Raw genomic sequence first — 19,893 nt, forward strand, 5'->3', positions numbered from 1 at the left:
ATTCTGAGATATAAGTTAGAAGAATAAAAATAAATAGCTAATTCAGTTCTGAAAACTCTACTCTTTTCAAAAAAATCACAGATTCAGTTTCTTTATAGGAAGAACTGGATATTTTAAGAGCAGATACTTGAAAGATTTGAACAATAAAGAATGCTTGAATTGGGTTGAGAAAAAAATTAACCTCAGAGATACACACTAATAATATGTAATTTTTAACTGTCTTTACTAATTTTTAACTGTCTTGGTTTTCTTTTTAAAGAAATAGTGCCTTATTAGAAAAACAAGACTCTTTCCTTACAAGCCTAGTGAGGCACAGTTTGGAGGTTATTTCTGTTTAGTTGCAAATTATGAACTCTCTGCTCATTACCTATTAAAAGTGAAGATTGAAACTTAGTTCTTCACTCCCTGTCCTTGTGGATCCCTCCAGCATGTCATGCTTAAGGAAAATTGTTGCCTTCAACTTCTCATCAATGCAAAAGAGATATTGATGAATCTGAAGGGAACCATATTCCATTCTAGTTTCTTGGAAGAAGGGAACTCTCCCCAAATCTTGAAAATGATGGATGGGAGAGAATGGTGAACAGATTACCTCATATCCCATTACCAAAAATCAAATTTTAACATCTCTATCACACCCAGTCTTAAAATATGTAGCTAAGGGAAAAAAAAAACCAGTCAGGTAATCACATCCATATGACTAAAGCATCAAGGAAAACTTTCCTGCTAAACGTCTCCACTAAATAACAGCTATGGCGTTATCTTAGCAGAAGCAGGAGAAATAGTGCAGATGAAAGCAGCAATGGTATTCAAATTGCTGTTGCTTCCAAGATTCGGAAGGTATAGTCCTATTATGATGACGTTTCCTAAGCCAGTTGAGGCAAGCCTTGTATTTTAGAAGGAAAACAATGTAAATATTTAATGTGGGCAAAATGGAGAGCTATCTGCCTGGTGTCAGCAGTCTTTCCCTGCCAAGAGATCATTTTACCTTTTCTGCCTGCTTCCTGATACCTGGAACTGAATTTATGCCAGGGTATATAAGATGCATGTTTGATTCCTCATGAAAACAGGTTTTTGATAATAGAACTGGATGCCTGGAGTAGGAAGAGACAAACAGAGAAAGGTTGAAGGAAAAGCAAAACATAAAGAAAAACCTCCAACTTGGTAATTTTGCCCAGATCCAGCCCTGAGATAGAGATAGCATCTTGGAAAGTAGGAAGAAAAGAAGTATAATGACAAACTACAGTTGTTCCTGAGTATCCTCAGGGGATTGGTTTCAGGACAAACCCACCCACAAATGCCAAAATCCATGGTTGCTCAAGTCCCTTATATAAAATGGCATAGTATTTGCATATAAGCTACACACATCCTCCCATATACTGTGTTTTGTTTTGTTTTGTTTTTGAGATGGAGTCTTGCTGCGTTGCCCAGGCTGGAGTGCAGTGGCATGATCTCAGCTCACTGCAACCTACACCTCCTGGGTTCAAGTGATTCTCCTGCCTCACCCTTCTGAGTAGCTGGGATTACAGGCACCTGCCACCATGCCTGGCTAATGTTTGTATTTTAGTTAGAGACAGGGTTTCACCGTGTTGGCCAGGCTGGTCTCAAACTCCTGACCTCAGGTGATCTGCCCGCCTTGGCCTCCCGAAGTGCTAGGATTACAGGTATGAGCCACCATACCTGGCCCCTCCCATATACTTTAAATCATCTCTAGATTACTTGTAACCTAATACAATGTAAATACTGTGTAAATAGTTGTTATACTGTATTTTTAAAATTTTATTATCAATGCATTGTTATTTTTTATTGATTTATATATATATATGTATGTATATGTATATATTTCATCCACGGTTGGTTGAATCCACAGATGTGGAACCTGCAGATACAGAGGACCAACATTAACTACTAATTTTGATAGTTTAGGGAATTAGAATCTGTATGAGAGAGTCAAGAAATTCTCTTCTGCTACATTATGCTTATGTCTTTGTTTTAAATACTAACCACCTCTTTTTCATTCCATGCTGCCCTGGGGCATTGCCCCCTTGTCATCTCTCTCCCTGTAGGATGAGGAGGAGGGTATATGGGCATAGCCAATCAGAGGCTTAGTTCAGCCATTTTGTTCAGAACGGTGAGAAACAGCTTTCCTTAACTATAGAAATGGTTTTTGTTTGTTTTCATTTTTCTTTTTACACAGTAACTCTCACATCTCATTTCTCTGTAATTCATGAAATCCCTGGTGTGCTTTCTGTTTTTTTATTTTCACGTGATTCTTGTGTGTGTTGCTGTGCTGCTGACATAGTGGGGTTTGGATTTTGTGGCTTTTTTTTTTTTTTCTCGTTGTGTGTTAATAGTCACTTCTGTAATTTCTTTTTATACATTTTTGGGAGAACTTCTAGGACGTGTAACTAAATTTCTCCAGTTGTGATTTTATTAATTACCCTTTCTAGGGTGATTTTACAGTGTCCTGGCAAGGTTTATAGTAATTTTATATGAAATTGGCAATAGAAAATTGATCAAGTACTTTGCTCATTGGCCTAAGTTTGAGGTATACTTTTTATGATGATTAATTATAAATACATGGTGTTTAAAAAAAAAACTGTACTGTGAACTAAAACCTCCTTTTGTTTGTTTCTGTAGAAGAATGAGCTCTCACAGTCAGCACCTCGGACACATCCCCTGGGGCTTTGGCATTACCCTCAAACTATCCCTAAAAATATTGAGGAGCAAAGTAAAGGAAAACTTTTTTTAGAAGTCATTCTAAAAATTCTTTTCCCTCCCTTTTCATGGATTGCTGCAGTGTTCAACAGTTGCCAGGACACTGTCTAGATTCTCCTTTTCAGGACAATTGGCTGGAAAGTATAGTCCAGCCGTGGCAGTATCTCCCTTTGATCTGATGCCCTTGAGGTTTGACTAAGGAAATCCTTTTCTTAGAAAAAGTAATAATTATGATTAATAAGTTCACACATATTTGGTGGCCTTGCACTCCCTGGATTCACTGCCCATGCCTATCAGTGATCTCACTCCCCTGGAGTCAGTTCTCCCTGAAATGTCTTTGTCTTGGTGTTAAACTTCTTAAAATGATGAGGACATGTGTAGATCTCTTAACGTTGAGCACAACCAAGAAGGATGGAGAGGTAAGTTGTGGAAAGGGGCCATGCGCTGTGAGGTGGGAAGCTGTCCAGATGGCTTTATCCTGAGGGCATGAATGAAGTTGAAACGCACTGGGTCAACCAGAAAGCTCTTCAGGTTAGGATGCTGCATGTCAGAGAAAGCTAAAGCTGAGAGCAGTCAATGTGCTAATTATCTGCACTGGACAAGGGTAGGTATTTGTCATCATCAAGCATGTGAGACCGTGCAGTAGCTGGATGTAGTTTACTGGTCTCTTAGAAATGAGCATGCCCCTACCTTGTCTATTTTGGCAGAACATAGGAGCTTCTTAGCTTCCTTCAGCTGGAAGCACCACATATGTGGACATGATTATATTTTTGTCGCAAATCCTTTTTCTGGCCAATCAGAGGAAGCCTGTTGGTATTCTAGGAAACAGGCCTATAGGTAACTTCACCAGGAGACTAGAAAGTAAGCAAATCAGTATATAAACTTGTTCCTGAAATCTTCATTTTCCTTTCTCTACCAAAATAGGATAACTTAGCTTTTTCCAATTATCGCACTATTGAGCATATTGCACTAATATATTAACTTTCATTGGTTTAACACCATGCAATTGCAATTAGCCAGCCATAACTGGCGTTTCTATGATATGGTGTTTCCAATTTTATAAAATGTGCTGTAAACCTCATTATATCATAAGGATTTTACCTAAAGAAATGCATGAGTGACCCCTAAAACACTGCAGAAGTTTTGACTGGCTATCCACTTTCCTTCTCCTGTTTCCTCACTAATTTTACAGAAGATAGATTTTCTTTAGAAATTCAAACTTTTGAAATTGACGATTTACCTTATCAAACTTAAAAACGTGTGTTTTGCATCTGAAACATTTTCTAGGACACCAATACATACTGATCAAGTGTGAGCCTTACTTGATGTATCCATAGATGGGAAGAGAATCACAGATGTACTGAGCTGAAAAGGATTCTGGAGTTAGGCCATTTCAGGAGAGGTGGTAAAACGTAACGCTTAAGAGTGTAGGCTTTGGAGCGGGATGCCTATGTTCAGATTCTACCACCACCATGTACTAGCTTCTGATTTGGACAAGGTACGTCATTGCGCTGTACTTCAATTTCTTCATCTTTAGGATGGAGGTTGTTGTGGGGAGTAGATAAGTTGTGAGACACGTGGACTCCAGAGCCAGACTGCACAGCTTTGAATCTAGACCTCTCCACCTGCCCTGTGACCTTGGGAAAGTCACTTAAACTCCCTGAGCCCCAGTTCCTTTATCCAAAAAATGGGTTTATGAATAATGCCTACTTCCTAGGATTATTGGATAGATTAATAAGTTGATAGCTGTAGAATGCTTTGAGCAGTACTGTACATGCCTTTGTTATGCTGTTGCCGTTGTCATCATTAACTTAGATCCGTCTCCAGGAAATAGTAAGCTTTCAATAAATGTTAGTTCCTGTTGTTACTAACATCATCGTCTAATCCAGTGCCCTCATTTTATAGGTCAGGATGCAAAACAAAGATTGAAAAGTTGTGACTTAAGGTCCCCAGGCATTTCTGTGGTCTGGAAGGAAGAACTAGTATCTGACAGTAAAAGAGGTAGTGAAGACATATTGATGGTGATAGCTGTCTTCCATCACCACAAGTTTCATCTCCTATATGTTGAGGAATTTTTTCCTTTGGGAAAACACCTTGAATTTTATAAAGAAATTCCCTATTGTATGACATTTAGTCAGTGAAATCTTTGAAAGAATTAGCTGTCAAGCAGCCCTCCTAAGACACACGGACTGAAGCAAGGACTGCCTCCACTCATAAAAAAAAATAACAGTTCCTTCACTCTCCTCTTGGCCTATAGAAAATCCATGTGAGGGCCAGACTCGGTGGCTCAAGCCTGTAATCCCAGCACTTTGGGAGGCCGAGGCAGGCAGATTGGTTGAAGCCAGGAGTTTGAGACCAGGCTGGCCAGCATGACAAAACCCCATCTCTACTAAAAATACAAAAATTAGCTGGGTGTCATGGCAGGCACCTGTAGTCCCAGCTACTCAGGAGGCTGAGGCACAAGAATCACTTGAACCTGGGGGGCAGAGGTTGCAGTGAACCAAGATCGCACCACTGCACTGCAGCCTGGGTGAAAGAGCAAGACAGTCTCCAAAAAAAAGAAAAGGTAAAAAAAAAGAAAAAGAAATTGGTTCTCTCTCTCACATGTCATTCTGCTCAGGCATTCATGTTAGGTGTTCTAAGTTCAATAACTAAGTAGAATTTGAGCATGATTTGATAAGTTATGTAACTATTCAGTAAATCACTTGAATAAATGTCTATATTGTAATGTGTTTAAATTGCACTGGGTCCAATAGCCATGAAGTCTTATATGACTATCTCAGTCAGCTCAGGCTGCTATTGAAAATATCATAGACTGGATGGCTTAAACCAGCAGTCCCCAACCTTTCTGGCACCAGGAACCGGTTTCGTGGAAGACAGTTTTTCCACAACGGGGGCTTGGGGAAGATGGCTTCACAATGAAACTGTTCTTCCTCACATCATCAGGCATCAGTTAGATTCTCATCAGGAGCGTGCAACCTAGATCCCTCCCATGCCCAGTTCGCAGTAGGGTTTGCGCTCCCGTGAGAATCTAATGCCGCCGCTGATCCAGGAGGCGGAGCTCAGGCTGTAATGCTCGCTTGCCCGCCACTCCTCTCCTGCTGTGCTGGACAGTTCCCAACAGGCCACGGACAGGTGCTGGTTCAGGGCCCTGGGGTTGGAGACCCCTGGCTTAAAAAACAAACATTTATTTTTTACTGTTCTAGGGGCTGAAAGTCTGAGGTCAGGATCCCAGCGTGGTCAGATGTTTGGTGAGGACCCTCTTCCTACTTTGCAGATGGCTGGCTTCTCACTGTGTCTTCACAGGGCTGAGAGAGAGAGGAAGCAAGCTGTCTCGTGGTGTTTCTTTTTATAAAGGCACTAATTCTATCATGAGGGCTCCACCCTCAGGACCTAATAATCTTCCCAAAGCCATCCAGATACCATCATTTTGCAGATTAGGGTTTCAACATATGAATTTTGAGGGGACACAAACATTCGATTGATAGCAATGACGTTGCTGACTCATAGATCTCAGTGGTGCACATGTGACTTAGTCTCCGCCCAACAGGGAGTTCCAGAGCAAAGATTTCCTATGTAAGTTAGTTTATCCATGCCACTCTCTATCCGTTTACTGTAAGTTTTCTTCTTTTTTCTTTCTCCTTTCTTCCCCTCCTCCCCACCTCCTTTTACCCTCCCTCCTCCTCCTCCCTCCTTACTGTAGAATGTAGGCCCCATGAGGACAGGGACTTTAATATATTTACTTATGTATTCCCATCATTTAAATAAATGCCCAGGATATAGTAGGTCCTCAGTAAATATATATGTGTGTGTGTGTCTGTGTGTGTGTGTATTTATTTAACTACTGAATTCACAAAAATCCAGAAAAGTAAAAGTAAAGTTTACATTGAAACCAGGAGCATAGAAATTGGTTGTTAGCTTTATTGTCAGCACTGCTATTACTAGAAAGGGAAGATAAGAAAGATGAATGGAAACAAAAGAATTTTAGAGAAATGTTGAGAATTTAAAGGAAAATCATAATGAAGTCCTAGAGTCTGCCTCCTGAAATTTTACACTGAATATAATGGAGTTGAATGTAATTCTGAAATCTTTTTCATTTACCAACTGAAAATCCTTCGGGTAGAAACTTTCCTTCCAGTAACCTGTGGTTCTTAGCCATCAAGAAGAACAGCATATGCTCTTTCTGGACTTCACCCCGTGGAGCAGTTTGTGTGAACTGGTGCTAGGTCCCTTCAGTAAAGGATGGACCTACCAAGGGGCTTAAAAGTTGGTCTTGGTATAAGAACATGCCACTTACTACAATCTGGAAATGGCCTGCCTATTAGATCAGCACTGTAGCATCTCAAAACAGGATTTGGACCAGTATGCTAGACTTTTCTTTTTCATTAGAGATGATGTAAATATTAACACAAACTTTTAAGACAAGTGTTGTAAAACAAGCATCTCCTTCTCTTTTGGCATTTCCTTTTTGTCCATCTTAGTGGAGTTGTCAGTGTACTTATCAGTTGGAAACATCCTAAAATTATTCTCATTGCAACAGTGCAACAATGGAAGCCTTAAATTTCTAGAGAATACATCCATAGAAGGGAGGTGTTAAATTATCTTGCAGAATTAAATGGTGCAGTGAATTGCACTGCTTTCTTGGTATGGAGAAAATGGTCCAAAAACCAATTTGGGCCAATATCAGGACTGACTTTTGATATGACAGACAAGGAAGAATTCGATCCTCTATTTTCAGAAGTGGATCAGAGATTTTAGCAAGAAACTTCTTTCCTGGAAAGCTTAGAACAAAGCCAATGGAATTAAAGAAGCACAAGGATCTAGCTGCTGAGAAATAGGAGGGAGAAAATGAACATTTATTAAGCATTTACTATAGGTCCAGCACTTTCATGTATCTTATCTCATACAGGGCTCATAGACGTTAAATAATTTTCCAAGATTACACAGCTAACAAGCGGCAGATATTTAAACCCAGGACAGACTCCAGACCCCCTGCTGTCTCCATTACACCATACCCAAAGAGGAGTCTTCCATTTTCCAGTCTAGTTCCTTGGACATAGTAGACAACTCCATGGAAGGGTGTTGAATTGAATTGAATTCCTAACTGGGGAAATAACAAAATGGTCTTTGCTGGTAAGGAATATCTGTAGGTTACCCAAGACAGACCCTCACTGAAAAGAAACTAAGTGGTTTCTGAGTTCACTGATAAATGTGACTAACCAGGAATCTAGTGAGGAATTTGGAACTATAGAAGGGAGAAAAAGGAGGTCTTGGAGGTTGAGTAAAGTTTGGGAAGATGAAACAGGAAAAGAAAAGTTTTCAGATAGGAACTAACTTCAAGGAGGTTCCAACCTAAGAATGAGAATATGATGTGTAGGGGCTGGTGAGGAAACCAGCCCAAGTGAAACAGAGGGTGTCTGTCCTTCCATTGGTTCCATGGCTATCCCCACCCACACTTCTGTTTTAATATTGGACACCCATAATTCAAAGAGACAAACTACAGATGTGAGGAGCTCACAAGAACAGTTACATATTAAGCTTTACAGAGAATTAAAGTAGTAATCAGCTGCCTTTGGACGTTGTCTGAATCACTGTCTTCTAAGTTGATTGTCCCTTTATCTAGTTCTGTTGCTTTCAGGTCCTAGTCAGAAGGTGGGCTTTGGAACCAGATTACTTGGTTTCAAACTCCTGTGTACCTCACTTTCTTCATTTGTAAAATCAGGATAATAATACACCTGCCTCAGAGGGCTGTTTGATGATTAAATGAAGTAACATAAAGCCCTTAAAACAGAACAATGCTTTTACATATCAGTAGTTGCTCAGTTAATGTTAGCTATTAGCTGGCTTTAACCTGAAGGCACAAGCTGACCACTTATAGCATTAATACCCTTCCTGCTTTTATCGTTCCCCTCCCTTCTTCACTTTCTCTGTCTTCCTCTTGGCTCTCATTTAATGGGAGTATTGAATAAGAGTTCCTTACTCTTCAACTCTGGATTCAAACTATTCTTGCACAACCTGAACTCCAGTTTAATAGTGTTTCCTCTATATGCTCAGAAATGTCTTTAGTTTACTGTTTGACCTCGGCACACCACCTGTTTTCTGCTTTTCAGGTTTCTCTTCTTCCCTCCTCTCCACAAAGAAATTTAAAATCTTCATTTCTGCTTTTCACTGTTTTCCAGAGGGTTCACTCCCTTTACACCTCATCCTTCTGTCCTGGATTCTCACTAGCTGTCTCAGAACTCTGCCGTCTGCTATTAAAAGCCAAGCTTTCTGCCAGCCCTTTTTGCATACCATACTCAGCAGGTCCCTTCTGTGTGCCTCTATCTTCTCTAAGTCACCATCTCATCTCATGAGCATGTACTGAAACACATAAACAGTTTTGCTACTGCTGCTGCTTTTTTTTTTTTTCCTTCTCCCAAGCAACTTGAACCTATGTCAAATCAAAAAAGATTTTGGAGGCCGAGCGCGGTGGCTCATACCTGTAATCCCAGCACTTTGGGAGACCCAGGCGGGCAGATCACCCTAAGGTCAGGAGTTTGAGAGCAGCGTGGCCAACATGGCAAAATCCTGTCTCTACTAAAAATATAAAAATTAGCTGGGTGTGGTGGCGCGTGCCTGTAATCCCAGCTACTCGGAAGGCTGAGGCAGGAGAATCACTTTAACGCAGGAGACAAAGGTTGCAGTGAGCCAAGATTGTGCCATTGTACTTCAGCCTGGGCAACAGAGCAAGACTCCATCTCAAAAAAAAAAAAAAAAAAGATTTTGGAAAAGAGTTATTTTTGACAAAGGCATTGGGAAATAAAGAGTAAATGATGGATGATGCTAGTAGTTACCATTTAAAGAATACCTACTAAGTGCCAAACACTAAGTTGTAAGTTTATAATCACATTGTAAGCATGTTTTCATTGAAACCAATATAACAATCCTAAGAGATAGATACCATTTTCATTATTTTACTGCTGAGGAAACTGAACCATGGAGAAGTTAGCTAACTTATCCAAGTTCACATACCTGGTACACAGTAGAAGCCAGATTTGAAGCCAGATATGTCTAATTATATCAAAACTTGACCTACCTCTGAAGGATACATAGCTAGAAGGATTTTTTAAAGACGTTATTATGCCTTTGTGTTCATGCTGATTACAAGAGAGAAGAGAGTAAATGATGGAATTCAGGACATGCTACCCCAAAATATGGCACGTTGGCATTGGATACAACAACAGAAGCAGGAAGGTCTCTCTGACCTTCTCCTCACCCTTCTTGCCTGAAGCAAGCTATAAAGAATTTTCTGACCTGCCTCTAAAGTAAGTCATAAAACCTTCATTGCAGAGGTACCCACCCCATAGCTGAAGGAAAAGAATGTCCTTATCTCTGAAGACAGAGGAACACAAAGAACAACAGGCCTTGTTAATTCCTCCCAGTTTATTACTGTTATTAGATTAGACCCAATTGTCCTCAAATCAATTTCTCCATGACTGTCTCCTCTTCATCATACACAGATTTCCTTCTTTTCTGAAGTCTTCATTTTCTTTCTTTCTTTCTTTCTTTCTCTTTCTTTCTTTCTTTCTTTCTTTCTTTCTTTCTTTCTTTCTTTCTTTCTTTCTCTCTCTCTCTCTCTCTCTTTCTTTTCTTTCTTTCTTTCTTTCTTTCTTTCTTTCTTTCTTTCTTTCTTTCTTTCTTTCTTTTTGGAGACAGGATCTCTCTCTCTGTCGCTCAGACTGGAGTGTAGTGGCATGATCATAGCTTACCGTAGCCTCGGACTCATGGGCTCAAGGGATCCTCTTGCCTCAGACACCTGAGTAGCAGGGACTACACGCGTGTACCACCATGCCCTGCTAAATTTTGTATTTTTTGGTAGAAGCAGGGTCTCACTGTGTTGCCCAGGCTGGTCTCAAACTCCTGGGTTCAAGCAATCCTCCCACCTACGCCTCCCAAAGTTCTGTGATTACAGGCCTGAGCCACAGAGACCGGCTGAGGTCTTCGTTTCTGAAGGCTCCCACATTACATAAAACTTACAGTAAATAAATGTGTATGTTTTTCTCTTGCTAGTCTCTGTTATAGGGTTCTCCCCCATTAACCTAGCAGTGGATGAAAAAAGAAAATCTCTTCTCCCCTAAGAATATTCCCATAAGAATATCCAATTATAAATAAGACTAACAATAAACTCCTTTTAAAATCTGAGTAGAAAAGGACCCCATGGTAGCAATGTATGTATGTTGGACTAATTTGTAACTATTCTCCTAAGTGTTGACCTTAATCTTTCTGGTAATGCATTTTAGGATTAGTATACTACAAATGTACTTTTTCTCCAAAATTATACGTCCTGGATACATTTCTTTATGTAGATATGACATACCTTTCTTGCTTCAAATATCAATAACATGTAGTGTAAGAAGCCTCCAAGAGTGTGGTCTTTTTAAAGCTGGAACTCACATCCTTTATTCTATCTAGTAAGCCATCTCTCAGGTCTCATTCTTGAGAAGAAAAAAAAAAGCTGACAAAATTTCTACATTTAAATTTATTTTTCCCTTAATGTTTCATATCAAAATGGAAGCCATGTTTTTCATCATTTCATTCAAGACATAAAACCTTGTGAAAAACCAAAGTAATGGAGGAAATGAGGAATTGTCGTTTAGTGGATATAGAGTTTTAGTTTTGCAAGATGAAAAAGTTCTGGAGAATGGTTGCACAACAGTGTGAAAGTATTTAGCACTCCTAAACTGTGCACTTCAAATGGTTAAGATGGTGAATTTTATGTTATGTGTATTTTGCTACAATTTTAAAACTTTCCTAATTAAAAAAGAAGTAATGGTGATTTTCTGGCAAAAAAAAAAAAAAAAGATACATTCAAAACATGCACTGAATATTATTTTGAAAATTTTTCTTAGTGAAAAGAGGCACCTTCCTCTTTCCCAGGTAAACATTTCAAGGTTTTGAAATGGAAAAGAACTACCCTTGAGGCTTTGGTTTAGCCTTTTGTTCTCTGCTTGGGAACCGGGCTTATTTGTTTGTTTATTTAACTGGTTGCTTTATTAGCATAATAAAGCATGACACTGTTCTTCCTTGATTTGAACTGCTTAGAAGTCTTTAAAAGAATCATTTGCATAATTTATTATTTTTAAATGTGTTCACATTCAGCATTTCCTTTAACAAAGATACACACCTATACCTTTTACAAAGACTGAATATTTAGGCAACTTAACAGCTACAAACTTAACTTTTTAATGAATTGAAGCACTTTTCATTCAATAGAGATACAAATTTGGAGACCATCTTTTAGAAATTGGATCCAGAAAAATACTCTGAACCAGGGACTGACTTAAATAATTTCCCAACATCAATTAAATGAGATTTTTCCTTTAAAAAAAAAGTTGTTTTGCTTTGTGAGGTTAAACTTTTTTTTATTTTATTTATTTATTTGTTTATTTATTTTGAGACGGAGTCTCGCTCTGTCACCCAGGCTGTAGTGCAGTGGCACAATCTCGGCTCGCTACAAGCTCTGCCTCCCGAGTTCACACTGTTCTCCTGCCTTAGCCTCCCGAGTAGCTGGGACTACAGGCACCTGCCACCACGCCTGGCTGATGTTTTGTATTTTTAGTAGAGATGGGGCTTCACCATGTTAGCCAGGATGGTCTTGATCTCTTGACCTCATGATCCACCCACCTCGGCCCCCCAAAGTGCTGGGATTACAGGCATGAGCCACCATGCCTGGCCGAGGTTAAACTTTTAAGCAAAACCCTACAGGAGAGTTATCTGGAACTCTTTACAAAATGAGTGTATTTCTTTGTGAGAAGAACAGTGTGTGGAGTGCAAGGGTGTGCATTTATTGGTTTACTTCCCCAAGCCCAGTATTTTTGTTTGTTTGTTTGGTTTTGGTTTGGGGGGGGGGGGGGTTAATTATAAAGCATTCTATTATTGTATTTAAATCTTTTCCTTTATTATTATTTTTAAATTGACATCTAATAATTTTATGTTTATAGGGTACAGTGATATTTTGATAAATGTGTATAATGTATAATACTCAAATCAGTAATTAGCATATCTGTCACCTCAGACATCATTTCTTTGTGTTGGGAACATTTAATATTCACTCTTCTAGCTATTGAAAAATACATAACAAATTGTTGTTAATTATAGTCACCTTATAGTGCTATGGAACATTAGAACTTGTTCCTCCCATCTACCTGTGCTTTTACTCGCTCAGCGGATTCTTCTCACCCACTGCACAGAAAAGCCAATACACTGAGACAGCAGCATTGCAGTAGAGAAAGGGTTTAATTATCTCAAGGCAGCTGATCAGAGGACGAGAGATATTTCTCAAATCTTCCTCCCCAAGAACTCAGAGGCTAGGGTCTTCCAGGATAATTTAGCAGGCTGAGGGCTAAGGAACGGGTACTGCTGATTGGTTGGGGTTGCGATCATAGAGGTGTCAAAAGCTATCTTCATACACTAAATCAGTTTCTAGGTGGGGGTCACAAGACCGGTTGAGTCAGTTCCTTGGTATGAGTAACAGGTCCGAGTGGAGTCAGTTGGTTGCCAGAATGCAAAAGTCTGAAAAATATCTTAAAGACCAATCTTAGGTTTTACAACAGTGATGTTATCTATAGGAGTAATTGGGGAAGTTACAAATTTTGTAACCTCCAGCTACATGACTCTTGATGAGTAAGCAATTTTAGAAAAGTAAGCTAGGGAACGGGCTGCGCACAGTGGCTCACGCCTGTAATCCCAACACTTTGGGAGGCTGAGGCAGGTGGATCATGAGGTCAGGAGATCGAGACCATCCTGGCCAACATGGTGAAACCCCATCTCTACTAAAAATACAAAAAAAAAAAAAAATTAGCTGGGTATGGTGGTGCGTGCCTGTAGTCCCAGCTACTTGGGAAGCTGAGGCAGGAGAATTGCTTGAACCAGGGAGGCAGAGGTTGTAGTAAGCCGAGATCATGCCATTGCACTCCAGCCTGGCAAAATAAGCTAGGGAACAATGGCTGGTTATCATTTAACTACACCTACATCTTAGCAGAATTCAGTCTTTTCCCATAATCCTAACCTTGTGGCCTTTCATTTGTCTTACAGAGATGGTTTCAGTCCCCCGTGGGGGTCAGCTTGCAGAGGGACTATTATCATTTTTGCTTCAAAGTTAAACTATAAGCTAAATTCCTCCCATAGTTAGCTTGGCCTATGCCCAGGAATGAGCAGGGGAGTGAGCTTGTGACGTTAGAAGCAAGATGGAGTCAGGTTAGATTTTTCTCACTTTTATAATTCTTGCAAAAGCAATTTTATATTCATTAACCCACCCCTGGCTTTCCCCTTCCCCCTACCCTTCCTGGCCTCTAGTAATCACTATTCTACTCTCTGTTTGTATGAGATCAACCTTTTAAGCTTCCATACATGAATGAGAAAGTATGGTATTTATCTCTCTGTGCCTGACTTTTTCACTTAACATATTGTCCTCCCAGCTCATCTGTGTTGCTAAAATGACAGAATTTCATTCTTTTTTTTTTTAATCACTAAATAGCATTGCATTGTATAGATATTTGCCACATTTATCCATTCGTCTGTTGATGGATACTTAGGTTAGTTCCATATCTTGGCAGTTGTAAATAGTGCTGCACTAAACATGGGAGTACAGTGATCTCTTTGATTACTGATTTCCTTTCCTTTGGATATATACCTAGTGGTATCATAGCTGGATTGTATGATAGTTCTATTTTAGTTTGCTGAAAACCCTCCATGCTGTTTTCTGTAATGGCTGTTCTAATTTACATTGCCACAAACACTGTGTAAGAGTTCCCTTTTCTCCACATCCTCTCCAGCATTTGTTATTTTTTGTTTTTTGGGGTTTTTAAATAATAGCGATTTTGATTGGTGTGTGATGGTATCTCATGGTTTGCATTTGCATGCAAATGATTAGTGATGCTCAGCATTTTTTCATGTACCTATTTCAAACTCAGCGTAATTTTGGTTGGGAGGCCGTTAGGCTAAGGCAGCTCCAATGCCCTGAGTTCCTACATAAACAAACTGAAACCCAACTCTTTGTAAACAGTCATATTCTAGGCCAATCAGAAACCACCAACTAACCCCCTACCTAGGGGCTTTCCAATACTCAAGTTTAACCGATCAGGAACTGCCTGGCCAACCTCTAACCAGGGACTTTCCACTGGAATGATCCAAAAAACATTACTGCCCCACTTTAACCAATAAGAGATTTTCTTTACCTTGCTTCTGCTTTCACCTTACAAAAGTCTTCTACCAGTCTCTTCATCAGAACCCCCCACCACTTATGGCCTAAGGCTGCCTGATTAACGAATTGTTGTCTGCTCAAATAAACTCTTTAAAATTTTAACGTGCCTTTGTTTATCTTTTAACAGCTGTTTAATCTCACTGTGATCACAAACCATACATTGTATTGTCTTAATTATTTTACATTTTTGAGACTGTTGTTTTATGGCCCAAAACATGATCCATCTTAGTGAACATAACTTGTGCTCTTAAAGGAATGGTATTCTTTAATTGTCACATACAGTGTTCTGTAAGTATCAACTGGGTCAGGTGGTTGATAGAGTCTGTCAGATCCTCCCTGTCTTCACTGAATTTTTGTAGAGGGAGAGGTCTGTTAATTGCAGAGAAAGAAGCATTCAAATCTCCAACAAAAATCGGAGATTTTTCTGCTTGTCCTTTGAATTATTTCAGGTTTTACATTGTATTTTGAAGCTCTGGCTGTGTTTGCAGACTCATTTATGATTGTTATATACTCCTGATAAACTGGCCTTCTTACCACTGTGAAACATCCCTTTTGATTTTCAGAAATATCATTTGTCTTGAAATCTACTTTATCTGTCTTAAATCAGCAAGGGGCACTACAAAGTAACAGTAAAGGTAGATGTAAATATTGTTAAACAAGTAATAGGTATTCAATGAATACTTGTTGAATATTGAATTTTAGTATTTTCTGGGTGGCAGATTGCCAGATAATATGGTTTCGTGTGTGTATGTACGTGTGTGTGTGTGTGTATGTTTCTTTTTTAATAATCTATTTTCTAAGTCTCAGTGTGGATGAGATGCTGTGGATAAAATAGTACTCACTTCAGGAAGTTAGTTACCTCCAAGGTTGACTGAGCGTTGGTCCTAGCCTTCTAATAACTAATATTGAAGGAAGAAGCAGCTCATAATGACATAATGAATGAGTAGGCAATCTACCTTAAATCTTTAGAGAAAAAACTAATGATTGAACATACAATGTCAGGTGTTTTCAATAGAGGGGTAATAGAAGAATTAGAGCAGGTCAGGAAGGACAGCTTCATAAATACGACACCTTATGACCTTTGGCTACAGTTTTACTGCTTTCCTGATATTTGCTTGAACCAAAGCTCATTCTCTGTATACCAACACAAGTACAATTCTATTCTGTTCTTTAGCTGTTTAAAACAAAGTGGTTTCTTCATATCACGATTTAAAAAGAGTAGTCTCTTATGTCTCTAAAAGAACCATTGGGAAAAAAGCAAAAAAGAGTAGTTTTTCTTAATTCTAAAGATCCTCAAGGCAGTGGTGTCTTAACCAGGAAGACAGGAGAGACCCAGGCAGCCTTAGGAAGCTCACTGTCATCCTCCCTTTTCCTCTTGTTTCTTCATCCCTAGAAGTAAACAAACTAAAAATGGTTTTGACCTTTGAAAAAGAAATAAACACTGAAGTAATTGCCTGTGATTCTCTCTACCCAGCCGTCTGCTGAAAGTGTGTCTTGAGAAGAGCTTGAGATGATAGATAGATAGATAGATAGATAGATAGATAGATAGATAGATAGATAGATGATAGATAGATAGATAGATCGATAGATAGATAGATAGATAGATAGATAGATAGATAGATAGATAGATAATCTGTCTCTACTCCACAGGTCGATAATAGCTCACTAACGCATAGCCAGGGAGATGTCAGAGTGGCTTGAGACCTCAAGAAGCTTTTTCTTAAATCCTTAAAACCTAAGAACCTTTTTTTTTCTTTTCTTATTGTTCAGTTGCCTGTTAATTTTTTGTGGGGAGTAGGGGTTGGAATAGCATGCTACTGCTTAGAGTAGAACAGGGTTAGAATTCTTTGCTGCCAGGAGTATTATTTCCTTTAAATTTGTGTTTCTGTTGTGTAAACAAAACTATCTGCTTCCTGGAACATAAAGCACATACATAATTTTAGTAGGCACTTATGCTGGATTGTGCTTGGTAGTTGGCAGTGAGAGCACTTTTTAGTGTGATGGCATAGCCACATCTCTTGTGGGGACAGGAATATTTTCCTGTTAGAGTGGATGGTGACCTCTTCTGCATTCTGCTTTCTTCCCCTTCCCCACAGACTTGTAGAAGCTCTTGACAAACAGAGCAGAGAAACAAACTTAAGTACCAGCATTCTCACCAGCCCAAATTCCTGAATCTCTGACTGTCCTAAGACATGCCAGTTGTCTGTACCTGTGCAGCCTTTCCTCATAGCAAGGACTGGAACAGAGGAGGAACTGGTTACAGTAATCATCATTCCCCTGTGAACAAAGGTCTCACGCAGTCATTTCTCCTCAGTGTGTTTTCGGCTTCACAGAATGACTGTGAGACAATGTTGATCTGTTTACGTCACTTAGAGCTTTCAGCACATCCTTTTAATGGCCAAACTTACTTTTTTTCTGACAGACTTAGTATTAGGATCAACTATCATTTTTCTGGCCCTAATGCACAGAGCTATTAAATTCCTCAAGGTTCAGATATGTCTGTTTTTCTGCGTAACATGAATTATCCAAGAAAAATGTAGACACCTACTTAAAGTAATAGAAAAAGCATTGAATCAGGGTCAGAGACTTCAAAGTAATCCATTAACCTCTTGGTACCTCAGTTTATTCATCTCTGAAATGGAAGTGATGATAACTATCCTACTTTTCTTGAGGCACCGATGTAATGAATGTGAAAGTAGTTTGTAAATCCATAATTTGCCATACAATTAATAGCTGTTGTTTACTAACCTGTAGGTAGCCACCATGTACTTCTATATAGCTTTTGCATAGTATCTGAAGTCTAACACAGGGAGTTTTTAGATTTTTTTTTTTTTTTTTTGAGATGGAGCTTCGCTCTTATTGCCCAGGCTGGAGTGCAATGGTGCGATCTCTGCTCACTGCAACCTCCACCTCCTGGGTTCAAGTGATTCTCCTGCCTCAGCCTCCCAGGTAGCTGGGATTACAAGTGCGTGCACCACCACACCCGTCTAGTTTTGTATTCTTAGTAGAGACAGGTTTTCACCGTGTTGGCCAGGCTGGTCTCGAACTCCTGACCTCAGGTGATCCACCCGCCTCAACCTCCCAAAATGCTGGCATTACAGGTATGAGCCACTTTGCCCGGCCTTTAGAACATTCTTTACAAGTAAGTTAGAGGAATGTCAATAGGAGCAGGGTGTAGTCGTTTACTAATATTGGAAGATACCAGATTTCTGGATTTTTAGGGTTAGTCTCTTTTGTTAAACATTAATATTCTCTAGAACTCAATTACTTTTGAATAACTTGCAGAAATTCCCAGAATTCTAGGATCTTTGCTCTAGACTATACAGCTTTTGCCAAATTTAGACTACAACTATATTGTACGTTTTGTGGACTACAGTAGTTCGTCTAGTGTGGTATAGTAATGCATACTATTGCAGATTTGAAAGCTCTGTCAACATTATCATATCACTGGAATGCTGCTTTTATTTCTTAATTCTACCCCAGGTTGTCTTACCATTCTGTCTTTGTACCTCTAAATTCAATGTGTCGTTCTTTTTTTCTTCATAATTTAGAGTGGTTTGTGACTGGGCCACATTCCATCTTCCACCTTTTTCGTAAAAACCATTTTTTCTCCATAGAAGTATCAAAACCTTTGGAATTCCTTCAAAACAGCTGTGTCTGCCCTCCTTCTAGTGGCCCACTAGAACATATATGTCTGGAGAGCTGCAGTGCCTGGGACACTACAGGCAGATATATATACTTTATTCTTAACTAGAATTTCTCTGATAACTGGACACCAGCCTAGAAGTGTCTCAGACCTGCTTTCATCTGCTCTTTGTGTTCTTAAATCCCAGACAGACCCTTCCAGAACCAGATGACCATCAAGACAAAAGCATACTCAAGCAGACAAGAAAGGAGTAGGTCTCACCATATCTCCTAGATTTATAATGTGTGCTCTCTACCTGGCAGACACTACACATACTGTGTAAAGCACTGCTGGGGGCCTTCTTTGTGTGAAACCTGGGTGCCTCGATGCCTATCAGAACTTTTACATGAGGAAGTTGGATTGGAGGAGAGATTTATAGTCAACAGTAACCACTTAACTTGGAAAACAGAAAAGAAAAAGAATCGTCCATAATCCCATCACCCCGATGCAATCTCAGTGAATATCACAGATCAGCATTACTGTTTCTCTTATGTGCTGTTGTCATAATTGTGATACATGACAGTAGTGCAACTATAAATTTCGTATTTTCTTTTTTTTAATATATTGCATCCCACCTGTAAAACTGGCAAGATATATTTTCTTTTGCTTCCCCTACAGGGCGTTTGTATTATTTTGAGGGCCTTTTAACTTGGTGATAAAGAGTGTCTTTGCCCTAAGACCTAATTTGAATCCAGCGTGGTGGTCGTGTAACTGCCCACAAGTCACGTCACTTCTTCTCTAAGCATCAGGTCCCTCATTTGTTAAATGGCAATCATAAAACCTATGCCAAAGGTTAAGGTGGGAATTAAATGTAATAATGTAGTCAGTGCACTCAGCCCTTTGCCTGACATATAGGACGTGCTCAATAAATGGCAGTGAGGGTGACATTGAGGCAGAGACCTCTTAGGCTACATGAGTGCATTGTAAGTAATTTGGGGTAGAACCTTTTACTTAATGTATTTTAAGACATCATTTATAGTGTTTCACAGGTAGATCCTGCTTTTCTGTGGTTTCTGTTGAGTGATTTAAGGTGGCATTTGTCCTGGGACTCACTTGATTTATTTATTAGACTGAAAATTATATAGCATTTGAAGCATCTCTGGAACATATGCACTCAGATCCGTGGGTTCATATCTTAATGATTATGGGCATTTTACTAATGAGGAAGAGCTATCTTCCCCTATTTGTGGTATTATTTGTGATTTAGACATTCTTCCTGGACAACAAAGTATCTTTGTACTTTGTACAAAAT

The 19,893-nt window shown here is 39.3% G+C and overlaps 1 protein-coding gene across 54 annotated transcripts in view, besides 1 other annotated feature; it reads left to right on the forward strand.

Annotated features, from left to right (window-relative positions):
- The window catches only part of ERC1 (ELKS/RAB6-interacting/CAST family member 1), a 505,975-nt gene that overhangs the window by 418,367 nt on the left and 67,715 nt on the right, over nt 1–19,893 (forward strand). For 9 of the 54 annotated variants that reach the window (NR_027948.3, NR_027946.3, NR_027949.3 and 6 more), the window contains one exon: nt 2,064–2,128. The exons of 44 other annotated variants lie outside the window; for them this stretch is intronic. Coding sequence is in view for 6 of the 10 variants with exons in the window: in XM_017019072.2 (XP_016874561.1) it covers nt 2,064–2,090 (27 nt within the window). In the remaining 4 variants the exon portion in view is untranslated. Of the gene's footprint in view, nt 1–2,063; nt 2,129–4,002; nt 4,214–19,893 lie in introns of all 54 variants that reach the window. One more of the 54 variants, XR_001748631.3, reaches the window with a different exon arrangement.
- Nucleotides 14,872–14,921: an enhancer, noted in NCBI's record as "active region_5796". NCBI's record gives its function as "activates an Ori minimal core promoter by ATAC-STARR-seq in GM12878 lymphoblastoid cells {active_cell/tissue: GM12878}" and the evidence as "EXISTENCE:reporter gene assay evidence [ECO:0000049][PMID:35858748]".

The sequence above is a fragment of the Homo sapiens genome, chromosome 12 (genome assembly GCF_000001405.40).
Source record: "Homo sapiens chromosome 12, GRCh38.p14 Primary Assembly".
Lineage (NCBI taxonomy): Eukaryota > Metazoa > Chordata > Mammalia > Primates > Hominidae > Homo > Homo sapiens.